At 37.2% G+C, this 14892-nt stretch overlaps 1 protein-coding gene across 2 annotated transcripts in view; it reads right to left on the bottom strand.

Moving 5' to 3' along the window:
• GNL3L (G protein nucleolar 3 like) overlaps positions 11488 to 14892 on the bottom strand; it is a 115636-nt gene continuing 112231 nt past the window's right edge. For both annotated transcript variants that reach the window (XR_007068190.1, XR_007068191.1), the window contains exon 19: positions 11488 to 14514. The gene's annotated coding sequence lies outside the window, so the exon portion shown is untranslated. The remainder of the gene's footprint in view (positions 14515 to 14892) is intronic.

Genomic DNA, 14892 nt, shown 5'->3' with positions numbered 1-14892 from the left:
CTAAATATTGGGTGCTAATGGACATTAAAATGGCAACAATAGACACAGGGAGGGGGCAAGGGTTGAAAAACTAACTGTTGTGTACTATACTCACGATTTGGGTCACAGGATCATTCGAATCCCAAACCTCAGCATCACGCAATATACCCATGTGACAAAGCTGCACATATACCCCCGGAATCTAAAATAAAAGTCAAAATTATTTTTAAAAAGTGAAGCAGAAATTAAGATATTACAGGATAAACCAAAACTGAGAGAATTTGTTTGTAGCACACCTACACTGCAAACAATACTGAAGGAAGTTAATCAAGGCTGAAATAAAAGGACACTAAACAGCAATTCAAATCTATATAAAGAAATAAAGACCAGCCGGGTATGGTGGCTCACACCTGTAATCCCAGCACTTTGGGAGGCCGAGGCGGGAGAATAGCTTGAGCCCAGGAGTTCAAGGCCAGCCTGGTCAACATAGTGAGACCCGTTCTAAAAAAAAAAAAGAAAAATAAAAAGAAATAAAGACCACTAGTAAAGGTAACTACACAGGTAACTATACAAACTACACACACACACATATATTAGACTCAGGGTCTTCCTTTGTCACCCAGGCTGGAGTGCAGAGATCACAGCTTACTGCAGCCTCGAATTCCTGGGCTCAAGCAATCCTCCCACCTCAGCCTCCTGAGTAGCTAAGACTACAAGCGCACGTTGCCATGCTCAACTAATTTAATTTATTTATTTATTTATTGTAGAGACAGGTCTCCCTGTGTTGTCCAGGCTGATCTTGAACTCCTGGACTCAAGTGATCCTCCCACTTCAGCTGACCAAAGAACTAGGTTATAGGCATGAGCCACCGTGCCTGGTTTATTTTATACTTTATATAAATATACTTTACATATATATACTTATATATACAAAAATATAAAATGCCTGGTTTGTTTTGTACTTTATATATATATGTATATAAAATATATTTAGTATATATACCAGGCATTTTATATATCTATATATATAGTTTATACTATCTCATAATGATATATATATAATATAGTATATATGCTATATATATAAAGAGGCTATATATGTTATACATATTAAAAGGCAGTATAGGCCAGGCGTGGTGGCTCACGCCTGTAATCCCAGCACTTTGGGAGGCCGAAGCGGGTGGATCGCCTGAGGTCAGGAGTTTGAAACCAGTCTGGCCAACATGGTGAAACCCCGTCTCTACTAAAAATACACAAAAATTAGCTGGGCATGGTGGCAGGCGCCTGTAGTCCGAGCTATTCAGGAGGCTGAGACAAGAGAGTCGCTTGAATTCGGGAGGCGGAGGTTGCAGTGAGCCGAGATCACACCACTGCACTCCAGCCTGAGAGAGAGCAAGACTCCATCTCAAAAAAAAGAAAGAAAACACAATGAGGAAAAATGAACAGAGCCTCAAAGAAATATGGACATCATCAAACACACCAATGTATGCACAACAAGAGTACAAGGAGAGAAAAGCTAAAAAAGAGCAGAAAAAAATATTACAATAAATAGAGGCTAAAAACTTTCCAAATTTGATGAAAAGCATTAATCTATGAACACAAGAAGCTCAACAAAATCCAAGTAGGATTAACTAGACATCCATACCCAGATACATATCAAAAATGTTGAAAAGATGGAGAAAAAGAGAATATTTTGAAAGCAGTAAGAAAAACAATGGAATGGTATTCCATTGTATGTATATACCACATTCTCTTTATTCATTTATCAAATGCTTTTTTAGGATCAATTGAAATGAACACGTGGTTTCGTCCCTCACTCTGTCGATATGATGTATCACATTAATTAACTTGAATATGTTGAATTATCCTTACATCCCTCAGGTAAATCTCACTTGGTCTTAATGAATGTTCTTTTTAATGTGTTATTGAATTTGGTTTGCTCATATTTTGTTGAGGATTTTTCTATCAATATTCATCAGTGATATTGGCCTATAGTTTTTGTTTTATTTGCTTTTGTCTGGTTTGAGGATCAGGGTAACGCTGGCCTCGTAGACTGAGTTTGGAAGTAGTCCCTCCTCCTCTGTTTTTTTGGAATAGTTTGAATAGGATTGGTATTAGTTCTTCTTTAAATGTTTGGTAGAATTCAGCAGTCAATCCATCAGGTTCTGGGCTTTTCCTTGATTGGAGATGTTTTATTAAGGCTTTCATCTTGTTATTTGTTATTGGCCTGTTCAGCTTTTGGATTTCTTCTTGTTTCAATTTTGGTAGGTTGTATGTGTCTAGGAATTAATCAATTTCTTCTAGATTTTCCAGTTTTATTCACATATAGTTGCTCATAGCAACCATGAATGATTATTTGAATTTCTGCAGTATCAGTTGTAATATCTCTTTTTTCTTCTATGATTTTATTTATTTGGGTCTTCTCTCTTTTTTTCTTAGTTAGTCTGGCTATAATTTGTCAGTTTTGGTTTCAAAATGTCAACTTTTTGTTTCATTTAATTTTGTATTGTTTTCTTAATTTCATATTCACTCATTTCTGCTCTGATTTTTATTTCTTTTCTTCTAATTTTGGATTTGGTTTGCCCTTGCTTTTCTAGTTCTTTAAGATGCATTACTAGGTTGTTTTTAAAACTTTTCTTCTTTTTTGATGTAGGCAATTATAGCTATAAACTTCCCTCTTAGTACTGCTTTTGCTGTATTCCAAAGATTTGAGTATGTTGTGTTTCCATTATCTCGTTTCAAGAAATTTATCAGTTTTCTCCATAATTGTTTCATTGACTCACTGATCATGCAGGAGCATACTGTCTAATTTCAATGTGTTTTTATAGTTTCCAAAAATCCTCTTGTTGTTGATTTCTAGTTTTATTCCATTGTGGTAACAGAAGATGCTTGATATTATTTCACTTTTTTGAATGTTTTAAGACTTGTTTTTTGACTTAACATATGGTCCATCCTTGAGAATGATCAATGTGCTGAGGAAAAGAATGGGTACTCTGCAGCCACTAAATGAAATGTTCTGTGTCTATTAGGTCCATTTGTTGTATACTATAGACAAAAGCCGACATTTCTATGTTGATTTTCTGTCTGGAAGATCTGTCCAATGCTGAAAGTGGGGTGTTGAAGTCTCCAGGCATTATTGTATGGAGTCTATCTCTCTTTTTAGCTCTAGTAACATTTGCTATATAAATCTGGGTGCACTAGTATTGGGTGCATATATATTTACAATTATTATACCCTCTTACTGAATCGACCCCTTTATATAGTGACCTTTTTGTCTCTTCTTGTGGTTTTTATCTTGAAATCTGTTTTCTCTGATATAAGTACAGCTATCCCTGCTCTTTTTTGGTTTCCAATGGCATGGAATATCTTTTCCCATCCCTTTATTTTCAGTCTATGTGTATTTTTTTTTTTTTTTTTTTTGAGACAGAGTCTCGCTCTGTCACCCAGGCTGGAGTGCAGTGGTGCGATCTCGGCTCACTGCAACCTCTGCTTCCTGGGTTTAAGCAATTCTTCTGCCCCAGCCTTCCAAGTAGCTGGATCTACAGGCAAGTGCCACCACACCCAGCTGATTTTTTGTATTTTTAGTAGAGACAGGGTTTCACCATGTTGGCCAGGCTGGTCTCTATCTCCTAATCTCATGATCCGCCTGCCTTGGCCTCCCAAAGTGCTGGGATTAAAGGTGTGAGCCACCGCGCCATGCCACGCCCTATGTGTATCTTTATTGGTGAAGTGTGTTTCTTGCAGGCAATCAGATCGTTGAGACTTTTTTTAAATCCATTCAGCCATTCTATGTCTTTTGATTGGGGGGGTTAGTCCATTTCCATTCTATGTTATTATTGATAAGTAAGGACTTACTCCTGTCATTTTGTTATTTGTTTCCTGGTTGTTTTGTGGTGTTCTCCGTCTTTTCTTCCTTCCTGTCTTTCTTTTAGTGAAGGTGATTTTCTCCAGCAATATAATTTAGTTTCTTGCTTTTTATTTTTTTTGTATCCATTGTATGTTTTTTTATTTGAGATTACCATGAGGCTTGTAAATACTATCTTATAACCCATTACTTTAAGCTGATAACAACTTAACATTGTTTGCATAAACAAACAAGCAAAAAGAAAACTAAAAAAACTCTACACCTTAACTTCATCCCCCCACTTTAGAACCTTTCGTTGTTTCTGTTTATATTATATTGTACTATCTATGTCTTGAAAAGTTGTTCTAGTTATTTTTTATTGCTTTATCATTTAGTCTTTCTACTTAAGGTAAGAATAGTTTATACACCACAGTTACCGTGTTATAATAGCTTGTGTTTTTCTGTGTACTTACTATTACCAAGAAGTTTTGTACCTTCAGATGATATGGTTCATTAATGTTCTTTTCTTTCTGACTGAAGTATTCCATTTAGCATGTCTTGTGGAACAGGTCTGGTGGTGATACAATTCCTCAGCTTTTCTTTGTCTGGGAAAGTCTATATTTCTCCTTCACTTATGAAGGATATTTTCACTGGATACACTATGCTAGGGTAAAAATTTTTTCCTTCAGCATTTTAAATATATTATGCCACTCTCTCTTGGCCTTTAAGGTTTCCACTGAAAAGTCTGCTGCCAGACATATTGAAGACTCATTGTCTGCTATTTGTTTCTCTTCTCTTGCTGCTTTTAGGTTCCATTCTTTATCCTTGACCTTTGGGAGTTTGGTTATTAAATGCCTTGAGGTAGTCTTCTTTGGGTTAAATCTGCTTGGTAGTCTATAACCTTCTTGAACTTGGATATTAATATATTTCTCTAGATTTGGGGAGTTCTCTGTTATTATCACTTGTTGGGTTTTGTTTTTGTTTGTTGTTGTTGTTGTTTGTTTGTTTTTTCTGAGATGGAGCCTTGCTGTGTTGCCCAGACTGGAGTGCAGTGGCATGATCTCGGTTCACTGCAATCTCTGCCTCCTGGGTTCAACTGATTCTCCTGCCTCAGCCTCCCAAGTAGCTGGGATTACAGGCGCCCACCACCATGCCCAGCTAATTTTCTATTTTTAGTAGAGACAGGGTTTCACCATGTTGGCCAGGCTGGTCTTGAACTCCTGACCTCATGTGATCTGCCCACCTCAGCTTCCCAAAGTGCTGGGATTACAGGCATGAGCCACCACACCCAGCCTTTGGGATTTTATTATCCCTTTGAATAAACTTTCTACCTCTATCTCTTTCTCTACTTCCTCTTTGCAGCCAATAACTTCTAGATTTGCCCTTTTGAGGCTATTTTCTAGATCTTGTAGGTGTGCTTCATTGTTTTTTATTCTCTTAGCTTTTGTCTCCTCTGTGTGTTTTCAAATAGCCTGTCTTCAAGCTCACTAATTCTTCTGCTTGAACAATTCTGTTATTAAAGGACTCTGATGCATTCTTCAGTATATCACTTGCATTTTTCAACTCCAGAATTTCTGCTTGATTCTTCTTATTTCAATCTCTTTGTTAAATTTATCTAATAGAATTCTGAATTCCTTCTCTGTGCTATCTTGAATTTCTTTTAGTTTCATCAAAATAGCTATTTTGAATTCTCCATCTGAAAGGTCACATATATCCATCTCTTCAGGATTAGTGCCTGGTGACTAATAAACCCTGGTGATTTATTTAGTTCATTTGACAAGGTCATGTTTTCCCGGATGGTCTTGATGACATTTACAGATGTTCATCTGTGTCTAGGCATTTTAAGAGTTAGGTATTTATTGTAGTTTTCACAATCTAGGCTTGTTTGTACCGTTCCTTCTTGGGAAAGCTTTCCATGTATCCAAAGGAACTTGGGTTTTGTGATCTAAGCTCTATCTGTATTAGGGAACACCCCAACCTCAATATCACTGTGGTTCTTGCTGACTCAAAGAGATACTACCTTGGTGATCTTGTTTAAGATCTGGAAGAATTTGGCCAGGCGCGGTGGCTCACGCCTGTAATCCCAGCACTTTGGGAGGCCAAGGCGGGCGGATCACGAGGTCAGGAGATTGAGACCATCCTGGCTAACACGGTGAAACCAAACCCCGTCTCTATTAAAAATACAAAAAATTAGCCGGGCGTGGTGGCGGGCACCTGTAGTCCCAGCTACTCGGGAGGCTGAGGCAGGAAAATGGCATGAACCCAGGAGGTGGAGCTTGCAGTGAGCTGGGATTGCACCACTGCACTCCAGCCTGGGCAACGAGCGAGACTCCGTCTCAAAAAAAAAAAAAAATCTGGAAGAATTCTCTGGATTACCAGGGAGAGACTCTTTTTCTCTTCTCCCAAACAGAACCTCTCTCTCTCTCTCTCTCTCTCTCTCTGTTCTAGGCCACCTGGAGCTGAGGGTGGAGTGACACAAGCACCCACCACTGGGACTGTACTGGCCATACATGAAGCCAGCACAGCACTGAGTCTTGCCCAAGGCCCACTGTAACCACTACCTGGCTACCACCTATGTTCGTTCTAGGCCTTGAGGCTCTACAATCTGCAGGTAGAAAATACAGCCAGGCCCGTGTCCTTCCCTTAAGGGTGATGAGCTCCCTCAGGCCCAGGGCAGGTCCAGAGGTGCCATCCAGGAGTCAGGGACTAGAGTCCCTTCAAGGTAGTTGATTCCTTTCTGGCCCAGGGTGTGTCTAGAAATTTACTCTGGGAGCTACAGCCTGGAAAGGGGTCTCTTTTGGAGCCAGGAGCTGTGGAGTCTAGGGTTGGGGTAGAGGTGATTCAAGTACTTTCTTAGCTGCCCGGCTGGTGTCTCCAATAGGTCACATGCCTCCCCCCGCCTCGTCCACTGGCTCTGAACTCAGTTCAGCCCTAGGACTCACCTAGGAGTTGCAATGCTTGTGGCCTAGAATTGTCTTTCAAGTTTATTTGGAGCCCCAGAGCACTTTAGCATGTGGTGGTGAGGCTTGCCAGAACTCAAGTTCTGACTGCTGGGAATGGGCAATTCCCCTCTGGCTAGGACTGGTTTAAATACTCCCTCTGTGGGTGGGCATCAGCTGAGTGCAGCCTGGTTTTGCTTTCTGCTATGAAAAGGCAGCACTGAGTTCCCTGCAATGTCTCACAATTGCTGCACTCACCCTCTCCCAAGTGCTCAGATTCTCTCTTCATGCCATGCACCAGCTGCCAAGGGATGGGGGATAAGTGGCAGCAGCAATTCAAGACTCTTTCCTACCCTCTTCCATGCCTCTTTCAGTGACGTGATGTTAAAATCGAGTACTGTGAGTACTCACCTGAAAAGTACTGAAAGTACTGAAAGTACTTTGTTTGCATAGATAATTGTTAAATCATGTCCTTGTATGGGGGACTATTGGTGGAGCCTTCTATTCTGCCATCTTGTACTGTCCCTCTTCTTTTCTTCTTTTTTAATGTAGGTATTTATAAACTTACCTCTTAGTATAGGTTTTGCTGCATCCTATAAGCTTTGGTATGTTGTATTTTTGTTTGTTTCAAGATATTTTCTAATTTGGATCTCTTCTTTGACCCATTGGTTTTTCAAAAATGTGCTGTTTAGTTTCCACATATTTGTGAATTTTCCAGATTTCCCACTGCTACTGAGTTGTAATTTCCTTCCACTATTGTCAGAAAAGATATTTGGTATGATAACAATCTTCTTAAAGTTGTTAAGACCCATCTTGTGACAAACATGTACTCCATCTTGGAGAATGTTGTATTTATATGTAAGAATTATAATTTCTTTAAAAATGAAACATACACCTACCATATAAACAAGCCATTCTACTCCTTGGAATTTATTCAAGAGAAATAACCAAATGTCCACAAAATGTCCACCAAATGTCCACTTGTTCATAACAGCTGTGTTTGTAATAATCAAAAGCTAGAAACAACCTAAATATCAATCCACAAGTGAATGGGTAAACAAATTTGGTATGGTCATACAATGGAATACTATTCAGTAATATGTAGAAATGAATTATTTATACACACAACAAACTCAATTAATCTCAAAATATTTATACTGAATGAAAAAATCCAGATTATAAAACTCTAGAAAATGCAAACTAGTCTATTGTAACAGAAAACAAATTAATAAACCTTGGGAAAGTGTAGTAGAGCAAGAGGAAAGATTTACAAAGGGAAATAAGAAATTTTGAGAAATAATAATTATGTTCTTTATCTTTTTTTTTTTTTTAGATGAAATCTGGCTCTGTCGCACAGGCTGGAGTGCAGTGGCACGATCTCAGCTCACTGCAACCTCCACCTCCTGGGTTCAAGCGATTTTCGTGCCTCAGTCTCCCAAGTAGCTGGGACTACAGGCACCTGCCACCATGCCTGGCTAATTTTTGTATTTTTAGTAGAGACGGGTTTTCACCATGTTGGCCAGGCTTGTCTCAAACTCCTGACCTCAGGTGATCCACACCCCTCGGCCTCCAAAGTGCTGGGATTACAGGTGTGAGCCACTGCGCCCAGCATAATTATGTTCTTTATCTTAAATATAGTGATTGTCTTATGATATATATATTAAAACTGATGAAATTGCACATTTTAAATGGGTGCAGTTAAATGTATGTAAATAATACTTCAATAAAGCTGTTTTTAAAATAAACGATGTTAACAAATAACAAATAAGTAAGAACTCTTAGTCCAACACAGAAGGAGCTTGGAAGTTGTTGCCTCTGTCCTCACAATAAGAAAAAATCTGAACAAGCTGAAACTAAACAACTCTTCTTAGGTCTATCAAGGCATTGAGGTCACAGGGCAAACTGCTACTCCAAAAATTGGAGCTATAAGCAAATACAGAAAATCACAGCTTACTGGAGCAGAAGCCTACCACTGGAACCAGTACCAAGTTACTTTTATCCATTGCATCATGTCTAGCTTTAAACAAAAAAATTACAAGGCATACTAAAAAATAAAACACAGTTTGAAGGGACAGAGTGAGCATCAGAACCTGACTTAGATATGGCAGATATTTTGAAATTATCAGATCAGGACTTTAGATTAACTACTGTTAATATGCTAAGGGCTCTAATGGAAAAAGTGGACAATATGCAAAAATGGATAGGTGAAGCAAGCAGGCAGATGGACACTCTAAGAAAAAAAATCAAAAGGAAATGCTAGAAATCAGAAACACCATAAGAGAAATAAAGAATTCCTTTGATGGGCACATCAATAGACTGGACCTAGCCAAGGAAAGAATCAGTGAGCTTGAAGATATGCCAATATAAATTTCCAAGATGGAAATACAAAGAGAAAAAGGAATTAGAAAAATGAAACAAAATATCCAAGAACTGTGGGACAATTACAAAAAGGGTAACATATGCATATTGGGAATACCAAAAGGCAAATAGAGAAAGAGACAAACTAAAGCTTTGAAGTAATAATGATTGAGAATTTTTCAAAATTAATAACATATATTCAACCATAGACACAGGAAGACACTGTAAAGAAAATGAAACAAAAGCCACAGACTAGGAAAAAATACTTGCAAAATACTTCTAATAAAGAACTTACATCCAAAATATACAAAGAACTCTTAAAACTCAACTATAAAAAAAAGGAAGCAATTAAAATTGGGACAAAAGATCTGAAGAGATGACTCACCAAGAAAGATACACAGATGGCAAACAAGCATATGAAAAAATGCTCAACATCATATGTCATCAGAGAAATGCAAATTAAAACAATGAGGCCGGGCGCGGTGGCTCACGCCTGTAATCCCAACACTTTGGGAGGCAGAGGCAGGAGGATCACTTGAGGCCAGGAGTTCAAGACCAGCCTTGCCAACATGGCAAAACCCTGTTTCTACTAAAAATACAAAAATTAGCCAGGCATGGTGGTGGGTGCCTGTAGTCCCAGCTACTAGGGAGGCTGAGGCAGGAGAATCACTTGAATCCAGGAGGCGGAGGTTGCAGTGAGCTGAGATGGCACCACTGCACTCTGGCCTGGGCAACACAGCCAGACTCCGTCTCAAAAGAAAAAAAAAAGAGAAAGAGAGATACCACTACACACCTACACACCTATTAGAATAGCCAAAATTCAAAATACTGAAAACACCAAATGCTGGCGAGGATGTGGAGCAACAGGAGCTCTCATTCATTGCTGGTAGGAAAGCAAAATGGTGTAGCCACTGTGGAAGATGGTTTGGCATTTTCTTACAAAACTAAACATACTCTTACCATATGATCCAGTAATTGCACTCCTTGATATTTACCCAAATGAATTGAGATTTATGTTTATGCAAAAACTGCACAGAAACATTTACAGCAGCTTTATTCAGAATTACCAAAACTTGGAAGCAATCACAGTGTCCTTCAATAGATGAGTGGACAAATTCTGGTACCTTCATAGAATGGCATGTTATTCATCAATAAAAAGAAATAAGCTCCCAAACCACAAGACGACATTGATAAGCCTTAAATATATATTGCTAAGTGAAAATAACCAACGTGAAAAGGCTGTGTGATTCCAACTATATGACATTTTGGGAAAAGCAAAAACTCCCCTTTCCAGGCAGTAAAAAGATCAGTGGTTGCCAGCATTTCTGGAGGAGGAAGAGAAGGATGAATAGGCAAATCGCAAGGGATTGTAGGACAGTGAAACTATTTTCTCTGACACTATAACAGTGGATACGTCATTATACATTTGTCAAAACCCATAGAATATACAACACAAAGAATGAACCCTAATGTAAGCTATGGAATTTAGCTAATAATAATGTATCAATAATGGCTCATAATTATAAAAAATATACCATTTTGATCTAAATATCTAAATATTTTAAAATATATTTTAAAATAATATCTAAAATATTTTAATCTAAATATCTAAAGCAACATATTAATCAAAGGGGAAATTGGTGGGCAGGGAGGAGTGGGGAGAGGGGTCATATAGGAACTCTCTGTACTTTCCATTCTTTTTTTTTGAGATGGAGTCTCGCTCTGTCGCCCAGGCTGGAGTGCAGTGATCTCAGCTCACTGCAACTTCCCCCTCCCGGGTTCAAGCGATTCTCCTGTCTCAGCCTCCCGAGTAGCTGGGACTACAGGCGCGTGCCACCATGCCTGGCTAATTTTTGTATTTTTAGTAGAGATGGGGTTTCTCCATGTTGGCCAGGCTGGTCTCGAACTCCTGACCTCAAGTGACCCGCCTGCCTCGGCCTCCCAAAGTGCCAAGATTACAGGCGTGAACCACCATGCCCAGCCACCATTCATTTTTTCTATAAACCTTAAACTGCTCTAAAATATGAAGTCTATTATTTTAAAATAAATAAATAGCAATATATGCACATTATATAGAAATATGGACATAATATGAGGGGAAACAGCTAGAACTGCATTTGTTGACATGGAAAGAAGAATAGGGTATGTGGAATGATAGGATGGAGGCTGACTTTTTTTATTAAGAGCCTTTAATACTGTATTAATCACTTAATACAAAGTAATAATTACCTTTATAAACAATATTGATTTTTTAAAGAACAAACATAAAATAATAGAATAGCCATCATTTATCATTTCTCAGTAAATTCCACTGCAGTTTGTTTAAATAGTCTACTTGGATTAAACAATCTGTGCTAGCATCTCCACATTTACAATTAATGATGTTTATTCCCATAGATATCCAAGGAGCATATAAAATGTCTCAGAAACGATAATATGCAGCAAAGAAACATGGAAGGGATGGATGGCTGGCATTCAGTGGAGTCCTCCCTTAATATAGGCACATCTTCAGTCCTTGAATGGTCAGGGACTACAAAAAACAGTTTGGGAAATGCATGGACTCCGAACAAAGTTCACATGTAAGAAAGCCACAGACAAATCTCACTTATACATATTGATGTAAAATAAATAAAATATTAACAAATGGAATTCAGCAGTAAATTGAAGAAGTAAAAACTGTGGGGTCCATTCTAAGAGTGCAAGAGTTATTCAATATTAGGAAATACACATAATTCATTGTACTAATAGGTCAAATGAAAAAACCCACACGGTCATCTCAATGGATGCCCAAAAGATGAATTTAACAAAATTCAAGATGTATTTCTGATTTAGTTATCTAGGAATGGATACTTTCTTGACATACTTTTTATACTCTATATTTCTAACCGAAAACCAGTATCATGCTGAATAATGAAATGTGAGACTCTCCATTAAAGTCAGAGAAAAGGTGCAAGCCCCATTATCACCACTATTACTATTCTGAAGGCAATACATAACACAATTAGACAAGATAATTAAATGAGGCACAAACTTGGGATAGCTATTATAGGAGCAAAATAATCTCTATTTGTTGATGACATAGCTGTGTAACTTGAAAGCCTGAGGAAATTTATGGAAAACCTATTAAAAACAATAATAGGATTTAGTGACGTACTGGTAATTGCTTTCCCACAACCAGTTCAAAAAGATAAGGGAAAAATATCCCCTTCACAATAGCAACTAAAATAGGAATAAACCTAACAAGGAACACATAAAACATATAAAAATAAAACTTTAAAATTCTACTAACATAAAAAATTGAATAACTAGAAATCCATACCTTACTCTCCAATAGGAAGATTCGATATTATAAAAGACAATGATTTTCTCTAAATTAACCTATAAATTCAATATAATCCCGGTCAAAATGTCAATAGGCAATTTTATATTATTTTTACTTTCACAATGTGTGCTAAGATTCACCTGGAAGAATAAGTATGTGAAAACAGGCAGAAATTTTCTGAAAAAGAAGCAAAAGAGGCTTTGCCCAACCAGATATGAAGATATATATTTTGAAGTTACATTAATTACAATGGGGTGGCACTGGTGCAGGCACAGACATTCAGATCAATAGAATAAAATAGTGCAGAAATAAACAAAAGCACATATGAAAACTCCATATTTGATAAAGGTGACATTCCAATTCAATGAGTCAATAATTATTAGTCAATAGATGGTACAGAGACAGTAGACTTAGCATTTGAAAGGAAAAGAAGCTAGATCCCTGTCCTAAATCCTACCCCAAAATAAATTCCAGATAGATCAAAGATTTAACTGTAAAACTGAAACCATAAAAGTACTAGCAGACAACATGGATGAATCATTTTTAATACATAATTTTGGAGTGGGTAAAGTATTTGTAATCACTGCAGTTAAAATGGCTTTTCTCAAAAGGACAAAAAATAACGGATGCTGGCAAGGATGCTGAGAAAGGAGAATGTTTGTACACTGTTAGTGGGAATGGAAAGTAGTACAGCCACTATGGAAAACAGTTTGGAGATTCCTCAAAAAACTAAAACTAGAACTGCCATATTATCCAGCAATCCCAGTGCTAGGTATACATCCAAAAGAAAGGAAATCAGTATATTGGAGAGATATCTGCACTCCCATGTTTATTGTAGCACTATTCAATATAGTCAAGACACAGAATCAACCTAAGTGTCCATCAACGGATGAATTGATAAAGAAAATGTGGTATATATACATAATTGAATATTATTCAGCCATACAAAAAGAGTGAAATCCTGTCATTTATAACAACATGCATGACATTATGTTAAGTGAAATAAGCCAGGCACAGAAAAACAAATATCACATGTTCTCACTCATACGTGGGAGTTAAGAAAACACTGATCTTGTGGAGGTAGAGAGTAGTAGGATGATTACCAGAGGCTGGCAAGGGTAGTGGAGAGGTGGGGATAAGGAGGGGTTGGTTAATGGGTACAAAAATACAGTTAGATGGTAGGAATAAGATCTAGTGTTTGGTAGCACCATAGGGTGACTATAGTTAACAATAATTTATTGTATATTTCAAAATAACTAAAAGAGTAGATTTGGAATATTCCCAACACAAAGAAATGATAAATGTTTGAGGTGATGGTTATCCCAATTACCCTGACTGGATCATTACACATCATAAACAGGTATAAAAATATCACATGTAACCCATAGGCATGTACAACCCATAAAAATTAAATTGTGTACCCATAAAAATTAAAATTAAATTAAATTATTTAAAAAGAAAACAAAACCCAAAAACCATAAAGGGAATGATTGGTAAACCTAACCATATAAGTTTAAACAAAGTTTATCTTTGCATATACCACAAGCAAAGACAAAAGACAACAAATGGGTGTGGGAGACATTTGTGCAAATACATATATAATAAGAATATTTATTTCAATATTACAACACATAAAAACAAAAAATTAGAAAAAAATAACCACTAAAAGACATCCAATTAAATAAATTCTGGTAACTCCATACATTGTAATAATATGAATTTGTTTTGTCTTGTTTTTAATAAGGTAGATGTATATGTATTGGTACAGGAAGATGTTAAGTGTTATATGAAAAAGGCAATTATAGAACTTTCATTGGTGTAAACAAAAGCATATATTCATATTTATCTTTATGCAGAAAGATACATGCTTGTTTGTATATGCATGGAAAATGGGAAGATGTAGACAAAACTGTTAACAGTTACTGTCTCTGGAGATTGGTATTAGGAGAGAAAAGCATTGGATGAGAACTTTGTTTTTAGTTTATACATTCATTTATTCTACAAATATTGATTGAACTTACATACCAGCAGTTTTAGATCCTCAGGATACAGATAAGGCTTCTGTTCTCATTTCTGAAGAGGAGGCAGACAATAAACAATTACATAAATGAGCAACGCAATTTCAAACAGTGACAAGGGCTATGCAGGGAATAAAAAGGAGTTTATATGACAGAAAGCAGTGGGGCCAAGAGTTGTGTGGGCTATTTCATACTGCGTGGTTTGGCAAAGTCCTCTCTGAAGAAGTGACAATTGAGTGAAGACAATGACAAGAAGGAGCCAGCCACTGGAAAAGCAAGGGGAAAAGCATTACAAAGAGAAGGGACTCTCTGTTTAAAGCTGGCGAAGGAAAAAAAATTTTTTTTTAAATAAAGAGAAGGAACACTCAGTATAAAGGACCAAAGGTGAGAACAACCTTGGCGTGTTCTGGAAACAGAGGCCAATGTAGCTGGA

Source organism: Homo sapiens, chromosome X, assembly GCF_000001405.40.
Source record: "Homo sapiens chromosome X, GRCh38.p14 Primary Assembly".
Classification (NCBI taxonomy): Eukaryota; Metazoa; Chordata; class Mammalia; order Primates; family Hominidae; genus Homo; species Homo sapiens.
Note: the sequence above shows the minus strand (reverse complement) of the source record. Positions and strands in the feature narration are given on the sequence as shown.